Consider the following 10,873-nt stretch of genomic DNA (forward strand, 5'->3'; position numbering starts at 1 on the left):
GCAAAAATGCAAGCAGAGGTAGAAAGAGTGTAACGTCCTTAAAGATAATATGCCAACCCACTTGGCTCTTCGTATTTTCTCTGGCACTTGAAAATACATCCTGTATCCCCACTGCACTTATCCTACGTCCATTAGTCCTACAGATCAATATCCCATTCCCTGGGATGGCTTATCCTAGCTATTGGCACTGTCCCTCAGAGAACTTGTGGCATGAGGAAGAAAAGGTTATTTTACTTTATACTCTGAAAGCAAATTCAGTCAGGACAAACACAGGCCTTCCAATTTTAGAAATCTACATTTAGAACTGGAAGGCTGAAGGAGTAATGTAGCAACTAATCTTTTAATTCCCCTAAGAGCACATTTATTTTACTTTCCCCAAGGAACAAATATTAAGGAAAGGCTAATTTTATTTTAGTTTATTTTACTGATCTAGCAAAAATATATTTCAACATGCTTATGGAGATTTTAAAAACAACAGGAAATGGAGAGAAATGGTACAGGAAAACTGGTTTTGATGAAATAATGTTCTCAATATTAAACAACAGTGGAAATTTAGGGTTGATCTGTAAGCACATGGCTTCCACACAGACCTCAACTAACCAGAATGTATTTGTTTGGGCTAGTTTAAATTGCTGTTATGTACTGGCTTTTAAATGCCACCAATAGGGTATTCTACCTTTAGATCTGGCTTCTACTGACCTTAGAGCTAAGGAAAAGAGTGGGAAAAGAGTAAGCAATCCTTCAGCATTGGCGAGCACCAAGATTCTGACGCTTCTGGTGTCATTTTAGAAGCATGAAATGAGTTTGTGTCATTCTTTATTATGGAAGCCGATAGCCAGAGGAAACTGGAAGGGCTCTGAATGTTGGAACAATCATTTTAAGTAGCCTAAACATTCTTCAGCATACAAGCTACAGCAAGCTTTAAACTACTCAAAACAGCAACTTCTAATATGCAAAATGATATTTTTAATTGCAAAAACTTTGAATTAAAGCATTTACACATACACTGAAAATTCCTAATAGAGGTTTCTCTATTTTTGTAAACTGAATGGGTGATGATTTTATTTATCAGTTTAAGTTGCTAAGCTGTCTTACGAAAAAAATTTATTTATAGTTAATGAGCTAGTGATAAAATCTAAAGGGCCTTGGAAAAAAGTACTATTGTATGCTAATGTGAACAAAATCCAGTTGTCCCTCAGTATCTGTGGGGGACCGGTTCCAGGATCTCCTGCAGATACTAAAATCCACAGATGCTCAAGTCCCTGATAGAAAATGGCATAGTATTTGCACATAACCTACACACATCCTCCCATATACTTTAAATGATCTCCAGATTACTTATAATACCTAATACAATGTAAATGCTTGGTAAATAGTTGTTAACGTTTATTGCTTGGGGAATAATGACAAGAAAAAATACTCTACATGTTCAGTACAAATGCAATTTTTAATATTTGCAATTTGAGGCTGGTTGAATCCACAGATGTGGAATCCATGGATACAGAGAGCTGACTTTAATAGCATACATTAATTCTTCTTCTGCAATGACCCCAGATACCAACAATGCCAGGGACATCATAAAGAATACAATCATGGTCTCTGCCTCTGAGGAACTGAAGGTCTAATGGAAAGTCAGATCCTAAGTAAGTGGAAAACTAGAATGCAAATACAACTGGAATAATTAAGGAAATGAATGTATCATGCAAGTATATGGTCCATGTGACACATGTTAATATGTCAAATAGGAAATAATTATGTGCAAACTAGTGACAACTATATAAAAATTGTATATAACAGAAAACAATTACACGAAATCCCAGAAACCAAATTCTCCATATTCCAGCAGATGATAAAATGTGAGCCTTTCCTCAGTGAAGATCATCCAGTTTCCTAGAAGAACAAAGTGTTCTTCATAGCCTTCTTCCTTTTTTAGCAATAAATGTTCCATTTGAGCACAAAAGATTGAAGGGTATGACAATCTTTATTTCTGAATCCATTTAATTCCAGAAAAACATTCAAATAAGAGAGCTCTACGGTTTGGGGTAAACTTTGGTATACAACATTACAACTTAATGTCTTCCATCTATGCTACAGCAAAAGCAATTCAAAAACCCTCTCAAGGTACAAACAGCCAAATGTTACTCTTACCAATTTCTTACATATAATTCTGATGGGCTTTTTGAGACTGAGCAAATGCTGTCTCATTGAGATACCAAATGTATTTCCCAGGTCCAGATAAGCCTCTAAGAATCAGCCTCAAACATTTTTAAATAAAAATAAAACTTAAAACCATTTCACCCACTCTATGGTATAAGGGCTGCAAATCACAGGCAAAGTTTCGAAGATGTGCTGAGACACTAATATGTTATTGCCCCAGCTGCTAGAACAGCTGTCATCCACGTCTCTCTTCTGCAAACACACAGTACTACAAGAATGAAAGGGAGGCCGGGCGTGGTGGCTCACACCTGTAATCCCAGCACTTTGGGAGGCCGAGGCAGGCGGATCACGAGGTCAGGAGATCAAGACCATCCTGGCTAACACAGCGAAACCCCGTCTCTACTAAAAATACAAAAAAATTAGCCGGGCCTGGTAGTGGGCGCCTGTAGTCCCAGCTACTCTGGAGGCTGAGGCAGGAGAATGGCGTGAGCCCAGGAGGCACAGCTTGCAGTGAACCGAGATGGTGCCACTGCACTCCAGTTTGGGTGACAGATCGAGACTTGTCTCAGAAAAAAAAAAAAAAAGAATGAAAGGGAAAGGAAGAATGCCCTGAATGCTTGACTAAGGAGTCTGAGAATGTAGCCTTCTCCCAAAGTAGTTTGTCATCCTTCAAGCTGAAGCCACCTGTACAGGTGAGTGAAGATAATACCCCCACCTTCATTTAGAGAACAGTATGACTAGTGTTTTAGAATTCTCTGATTGTGCCTACCCTTTGTTTCATAAGTTTTGTTCAAATTCATCACTAATTTTAGAGGAAAATGTAAGTTCCTACAACTGTCATTTCCCAACCACTAATAAGTTATTTGACTTGAAGCACAATTTGCAATAATGGCCTCTGTAAGCATTTCTTTAGCCCCATCATCCAAGGGGCTGCTTTCATCTCATTCATTTCATCTCGTCTCACTTCTAACCTCAGCCATGTGCTCGAAAAGCAAACGAACCAAGTGGCAATAGCATTAGCAGTGAAAAAAATAACATATCTAGGGTTGTGCAGCTGACTGAGATCTTATAAAAGTATTGCTTTTATAGGATACTGTTGTTTTCAAAAGGAAACCAGAAAAGAAATATCGATGATTAGAAATAATGTTTTTTCTGTAAGTTTGTTCTTTGTTAAACCAAACAAACAGGTGTCACAAAACAGAACAAAAAAACCAATGATGGGTCAAAGTTTAAAGAAATGGATAGATGGCTGGGTGAAGTGGCTCACACCTGTAATCCCAGCATTTTAGGAGGCGAAGGCAGGAGGATCACTTGAACCCAGGAGTTCAAGACCAGCCTGGGCAACATGGCGAGACTCCATTTCCTTAAAAATAAAAAGATTAGCCAGTCATAATGGTGTGCGCCTGTAGTTAGTCCCAGCTACTCAAGAGGCTGAGGTGGGAGGATCACCTGAGTCCAGGAGGTTGAGGCTGCAGTGAGCCGTGTTCACACCACTGTATTCCAGTCTGGGCAAGAGAGCAAGATCCTGTCTGAAAAAGAAAAAAGAAATGGATAAAACATAATACTTCATTTTATTTTCCAAATGAATTCAAGGCTGGAATTGGTGGGTCAAATTCAAATCTAAATATGGTTTCATGAATCTTTCTCATGTGGATACCCCAAAAGTGATTTCATCTATTAGTCCCCAGTTGTATGAAAAGTATCAACTGTACCCTGCAATGACCTAAAGCCAAACTGAAATTCCAGCAATGGACTGGCAGAACCATACACTATTAATTCAATAAATTTTCTTAGGTAAACAGGACACAGAGCCAACACCAACAGAAATTACATGGGGTTGGGGGATCTAGACACATAAACAGATGCTCACAACAGTGTGGCTGGTCAGATGCTGTGGAGGCAACAGAATTGGGAAGTATGCTTCAGCTACCTAAAGAGAAGCAGGCGCCTGCAACAGTGAGCACTCATGCCAGGTAAGGCTCTGGTGGAGGAACTGAAAGAAAGTCAGCATGGCTGCAGCCAAACAACTCAGGCTTTATCCTAAGAGCACCAGGTAATCCCTGAAGGGTCTTAAGCAGGGAAGTGGCATAAACAGATGTAGGTCTATGAAAGATTACTTTGGCTGACCACAGAGACATGAGACGACAAAGGAGTGCTTAGAGGAAGTCCAGATGGCTATGGTAAGCCAGAAAAGAAGGGATTGAAGCCCACACTAGGGAAATGGAGAAAATTGAACAAGAAGGAAAATCAAGAAGATTCTGCAACTGGCTGAATGGGACAAGGAGCACTGGATAAGCAGAAAGGCAGAGCCGAAGATCACAGGCAGACGCTGAGCTTGAGTGAGAGAGAACTGTGCTGCCACTCACTACAGCAGAAAGCACAGCAGGCCTCAGGGGTGATGAGTCCTACTATGGACATTTGTGCCAGGTACCTGTGGGATATTAAAGTGGACAAGTCCCAACAGATGGATTTAGAAATCTGAAGCTCAAGAAAGGTCTGGATTGGAGATTTGGAAATCTGGCATGAAATCACCCAGGAAAAAAGCAAGTGAAATAAGGAGAGCAGAGTACCTTAAGAAGAACTCTAAGAAACTCCAACGGGAAAGGGACAGGGAGTACCCCCTAGAAGGGACTGTGAAGGAAGAGGTAGACCAGGAGGAAAACCAGGAGACAGAGTGTCACAGAGATCTGGGGACTTGAGCATCACAGGCAAGAGGCATGCTAGTGTCGAATGCTGCTGAGACACCAAACGAGGGAAGGGTGGAGAAACTTCCATTGGATTTAACAAGGAGAATTATCAGTGACCTTAACAAGAACAGTTTCACTGAGGTTGTGGGTGGAAGAGGCCAGGTTGCAGCAGGTTGAGGCGTATGTGAAAGGTGAAGAAAAGGAAACCATGAGTATAAACAACTTGTTCAAGAAATTTCACTCTGAAGGAAAAATGAGAAATCGCATAGTAATCACAGAATGTGATAGAGTTGCAGGACGTTTTCTGTTAACCTTTTTAATGTAAACATTGTTAGAGGCTTGAACATGTTTGAATTAATGGGAAGGAGCCAGTAGAAACATCAAAGAGGAGAGGATGTAACAACTCAATGGGCCTTAAGAAAGTAGCAGGGAATGGGATCTGAAGCAGAAGTGCAACAGAAGCGCCGGGCGCAGTGGCTCATGCCTGTAATCCCAGCACTTTGGGAGGCCGAGGCAGGTGGATCATCTGATGTCAGGAGTTCGAGACCGGCCTGGCCAACATGGTGAAACCCCATCTCTATTAAAAATACAAAAATTAGCTGGGCATAGTGGTGGGTGCCTGTAATCGCAGCTACTCAGGACCCTGAGGCAGGAGAATCGCTTGAACTCGGGAGACGGAGGTTGCAGTGAGCCAAGATCACACCACTGCACTCCAGCCTGGGCAACAAAAGCAAAATTCTGTCTCTAAATAAATAAATAAATAAATAAATGCAAGAGAAACTGTAGAAAGGAGCAAGTCTTCCTTTTCTTCCTTCCACAAGAGGAGGAGGAAAGGGTGAATGTGAATGAAAGCCAGTTTAAAGGTTAGGAATCCAGATGCTGGAGACATACTCATTCTCTCATTCTCATTCTCTCTCCCCGCTGAGTCTCCATTTTACATGCCCACCGGCAATGTACAACAGTGCTGCTTTCTCCAGTATTTACTGTCTTTTGTATTATACCCATCCTAGTGGATGGGAGGTGGTATCTCATGGTTTTGATTGGCATTTGGAGACCATTCTCTTCTGAGGTCACCTATTTTTCCCCTATGAAGAAAGAGTTAGGCTTTTTGCTAAGAGTAAGAGGGGAGGTAGCAATAAACAGTGGAGTGGAGGCCGGGTGTGGTTGCTCACGCCTGTAATCCCAACATTTTGGGAGGCCAAGGCGGGAGGACTGCTTGAGGCTAGGTGTTCAAGACCAGCCTGGGCAACATAGGGAGACCCTGTCTCTACAAAAAATAAAAAAATTAGTCGAATGTGGTGGTGCGCACCTGTGGTCCCAGCTACTTGGGAGTGGGGAGGATCACTTGAGCCTGGGAGTTTGAGGCTGCAGTGAGCTATGATCACATGGCACACTGTACTCCAGACTGGGCGACATAGTGAGACCCTGTCTCAAAAAGAAAAAAGTGGAGTGGAGCAATTGGGGGTAAAATGGTGAAGTCTGAAGCAGTCACCAGGGAGGATGGGAAAGAGCACTGAGCAGAGAAACCTAGCAGGATGGTAAGACCAAGCCCAGAGAAAGCTGGAGACCGTAAGTCTTTAGAGGTACCCATCTGGTCTCCTCTGTGAGCTTTTCTACCCCAGGAAAGAAGTGTGCTTTTGTGTATGTGTGTGTGTGTGTGTGTGTGTGTGTTTTAAATGTGATCTAACACACAGTTGACTTATATAATTATTTCATTAACTGATCTCCTCTACTAAGTCTATTCTGGCTAAATTCAGACAACACTCATCATACCCCTCTTGTGCATTCTTCAGCACGTACACAACATGTACTTTTTTTTTTTGAGATGGAGTCTCACTGTGTCGCCCAGGCTGGAGTGCAGTGGCACAATCTCGGCTCACTGCAACCTCTGCCTCCCCAGGTCAGGTAATTCTCGTACCTCAGCCTCCTGAGTAGCTGGGACTACAGGCGCACACCACCACGCCCAGCTAATTTTTTGTATTTTTAGTAGAGACGGGGTTTCACCATGTTGGCCAAGCTGGTCTTGAACTCCTGGCCTCGTGTAATCTGTCGCCTCAATCTCCCAAAATGCTGGGATTACAGATGTAAGCCACTGCGCCTGGCCAATATGTAACATTTTTAACTTTTTGTAAAACCAGAGAATATTTTGAAATGTGTCCGAATGCCCTGCCTAGATTCTAGACTCTGTGAGGCCCCAGCCTCCTTTCCTATGCATGACTTACTGTTTAATGTAGTACACACAGAAGGGATATCATCATCATAATAAAGGTCCTCACTTTCCTTCACAGTTTCATCTACCCCACAATGACTCCCAGGAAAAGGAGGGTACTGTTTCAGACTTCCCAGCTCCCGTATATTAGGTGGAGCCAAGTTCTTGCTGCAGCATACGGGCACGCTTTAAAATTTTCAAATCATTTTTTAAAAGCTACAAGCTTGACAGCTTTGGGTTTTTATGGCTACTTGTTTTCTGAAGTTCACAGAACTTTATCATTTGGATCACACACTTAAAAAAATCACTTGCAAAAATCTCTTTAAAGATGAATATGCTTCCTCTTCAAGAGAAACAGACTAGCGGGTAGAAGAAAAAGGACCCGTCTAGAGTATTAATAAATAGACTGATATTCACACAATGGATTAAATGGATTAAAGTCCATCCCACAGATGAACTGTTATATTAATAGAATCCAAATATACAGTTACATCCTCGACCCTGAAAGCAGTTTAAACGGGTGAAATTCACCCAGTGCTCACTTGAAATGAGTACTCTAAAGTTTAAAGCACCTATAAACTGCCCTCAGGATTCAATCATTTTTCCATTCCTTCCGGCATTATATACTTTGATGTTTTAATGTTATTAGCCCACAATACACACCAGTTTCAGAAACTCAGTTTTTGTCCTCTAAGGGCTTTTAGTCCTCCCAAAAAAAGAATAGGGCAAAAGCAAGGAAGATCATGAATCTGGTTTTCTAAAAGCATTATTACAAGACTGCTTTATAAAATTGTAATCCCCAGCTGCAGAGTTCCGCAGATGGCTTGAAAGTGTCTTACATGCAAATAAATAAAAACAAAAGGCCACTTATGCGAGCAGAACACAGCGTGCTCGATAGTCATCTTAAACCGAGCAGGTAGGTACTTTATCAGAGGCAGACAAGGGAAACGTCACTTATTTAGAGTTCACCGCACGCCTGGATAAAAGTCCTCACTAACAAAATCCCTGCCTTTGTGGATTCTGTGTCGGAAAGGGAAACGATAAAGAATACGGTTTGTGACAGCACTACTCTCAGGAGACGAAGGAGAGATGCTAAGATCTTGGAAAGGAGAGAGAATAGGAAGAGTCGGAGGGGAGATCTCCTCTCAGTAAAACGGCACCCACAGCAGTCAGACTTCAGCTACGAGCAAAATCGAGTCCGTGCACCTCAAAAAAGAGAGGGAGGCAGGGAAAACTTTCCCTCGCCTCTCCCCATCCTTCCCTCCTCCTCGCAGGAGAGCACATTAGCTGAGGTGCTGGCGGGGCCGGGCCGGGGACCCCATCCCTCGCCCCGGACGCAGCGCCCGCAGGGACTGCCCGGGAGCCCGAGCGAGGGAGGCGGGAGGTACAGGAGTAACGGGGCACTCCCGGCCCGGCCTGCGGGGAAGGGAAGCAGGGGCAGGGCCGAGGGGGAAGAGGCCTCCGCGAGCTCGACCCCGCGCCCACACGCTACCTGCGAGGTCAGCTGCTGCCGCGCCGTCCCGCGGGACCGCAGGGATCTCCGAAGCTCCAATGGGCGCAGAAGTGCGAGCGAGCGGCGGTGCCCACCGGCAGCGAAGAGGAGGAGCGCCAGGGCGCCGGGCCCGCCGGGTCACGTGGCCCCGGCCGCCTCACGTGACCCGGTGCAGCGCGCGCCCGGGACGCTACCCAGCCGAGCATCCCGCACCGCCCCGGCCCCGGCCCCGGCCGAAACCCTGCTCTTCGGGCCCTACAACCCGACTTCTTTAGAAGCCGATTGGCCGTCTCAGGCCCGCCCCGAGGCCCTGCCACTGGAGTGTCCCCATGAAATCCGGTGGCTGCTGCCGGGACTTAGAGGCTTTTGTGTCTGAGGAACCAGGAACGCGCGAGGCACGGGCTCCTGCTCTGCTCCCCGAGATGGCTTGGCTGTGGGGAGGGTCGGCCTACCACCCCAGAGACCTAGGACGGAAAAGCGACCGAGAAACTTGGCTCCCTGCCCACTCTAGAGCGCGTCTGGCCCCGGGGCACCACCCAGGTGGTGCTGCCTGGGAGGAAAGGCGGCGGAGCTGGGACTAGTTTGTTTTTACTGGAGACGCGCCTCCCTCCCTCCCCGCCCCTCACTTCCTGATTGAAAGTACCTGAGGCAGGCCAGGGACTAGGGAAGGTGGCAGCTGGACAAAGGTATGAAGGAAGGACGAGATGAGGCACAGGTCCTGGTATTGGAAAGAGGCAGAGGTACCTCGGAAGCATGCCATAGAGGTTAGACGGGACCTAAGAGGGCATCTGGTCCAACCGGATTCGTGTTACCAGCGAGTAAACTGAGGCCAGGAGAGGGACTGCTACGAGCTGCTCCAGCCTATCACCTATAAAGACTACAGTCCCTTTGTAAAATACCATACAGCTCTCGGAGAACTCCCAGTTGGCGCTGCAGGATAAAATCCAAACTTGTTGGCATAGCATTCCAGCCACTTGTTCACTTACCTTTCCCATTTGAGCTCCTAGGAATAAACAGAAAAACATTTCATTTTCTAAATATCACCAGATAACTTCACTTTTGGTAACTTGAATTATTAAAAAAGTCCTACCGTCCCTCATCTCTTGCCACTTCCCCAACATTACTGGAGGCTCTGGCTACAAATAATTTGTTTTCCTTGACTACTCAACTTTCTTTGGATTATTTACTTTTTCTCTAAGTTTCTTTACTCCTTTTTGCTTTGTTCATTCTTTTGTCTGTATCTGAAATGTCCTGAATCACCACCTCCCCCACTTAAAGAAAACCAGGGCCAATGATTAAAAAAAAAAAAAAAGGTATTAAGAAACTAATGCAATAAGAGAATTGAGCTTAGTTCTGTATCTATTCTGAGGTCTCGCTCCTGTTGCACTAGTTCCTGAATAAAATGTTTTTACCACTTCAACTACTGTTTGGCTCTGGTTTTCTTCAACAGCCTCCAAAGTACACATCAGTTTCCTACTCATCTTTCAAAATCCAGGTCAAATGCCGCCTACTCTTGTCTTCCCAGCATCCTCTTCCCTGATTTTTTAGCAATTGAAGTTCATCCAGACAGTGTCAGCTGCAACTTCTTCCCTGATTTCCAGAATACTATATATATTCTGATACACCTCACACTGCCCAGAAATAGACTGCGCATTTCCTGTAAAAGGTGAATTGTCTATTGCTGTCTTCTCCCTTAGATTATAAACTCTTTGAAACAGGATTCTTCTGGGTTTAGAACAGCGCCTGGCATGTGATAGACCCTTAATACTCACTGAATGAAGTGGCTTGCCCAAAGTAGTGGCAGTTGAGTGAATTTACTAGAAGAGGCCTGTTTTGCTCAAAGAAACTAAAATCAGTTTCTTTTGGTTGCAACCCGATCAAAAGAACTTGTGTAAACATGTCTGAGAGAAAAACGAGGGCATGGGGTGTGAGCAATCAAATATGTCCTGAGCCCTCACTGCTTATGTGTCAGATGCCATACTTGGAGCATCTTGGAGGATTAAAAGCTGAATGAGACATGGTTGCTGATAAGGAATGTGTAGTCTGGTTCATTATTCCAGTACAGGGTGAAAAGTATTATGATACAAGGTGCTAAGTGAACACAAACCAGGGACCACAAATCAGGGAGTCAGGGAGAAACTTCATGAGAAGGTCAGTTGGACAGGAAGTAGATAAGAAGAAAGAAAAAGACATTCCAGGAGAGAGCAATGTGTTCAAAAGTAGTGACACATGAAACAGTACTATTTGTTTAGGAAAAAACAAACAGGTAGGTGCAGTGGCTCATGCCTGTAATCCCAGGCCAAGGCAGGCAAATCACTTGAGGTCAAG

General features: G+C 44.3%; 1 protein-coding gene across 14 annotated transcripts in view, besides 1 other annotated feature; it reads right to left on the reverse strand.

The window, feature by feature from the left end:
• The window catches only part of RCBTB1 (RCC1 and BTB domain containing protein 1), a 53,613-nt gene extending 44,953 nt beyond the window's left edge, over positions 1–8,660 (reverse strand). For 10 of the 14 annotated variants that reach the window (NR_148015.2, NR_148016.2, NM_018191.4 and 7 more), the window contains exons 1-2: positions 8,546–8,660; positions 3,607–3,686 (exon numbers count right to left, since the gene is read on the reverse strand). The gene's annotated coding sequence lies outside the window, so the exon portion shown is untranslated. The remainder of the gene's footprint in view (positions 1–3,606; positions 3,687–8,545) is intronic. The other 4 variants (NM_001352503.2, XM_011535134.2, NM_001352501.2 and 1 more) reach the window with 2 other exon arrangements.
• Positions 8,184–8,893: a silencer, noted in NCBI's record as "silent region_5343". NCBI's record gives its function as "represses an Ori minimal core promoter by ATAC-STARR-seq in GM12878 lymphoblastoid cells {active_cell/tissue: GM12878}" and the evidence as "EXISTENCE:reporter gene assay evidence [ECO:0000049][PMID:35858748]".

Source organism: Homo sapiens, chromosome 13 (genome assembly GCF_000001405.40).
Source record: "Homo sapiens chromosome 13, GRCh38.p14 Primary Assembly".
Classification (NCBI taxonomy): Eukaryota; Metazoa; Chordata; class Mammalia; order Primates; family Hominidae; genus Homo; species Homo sapiens.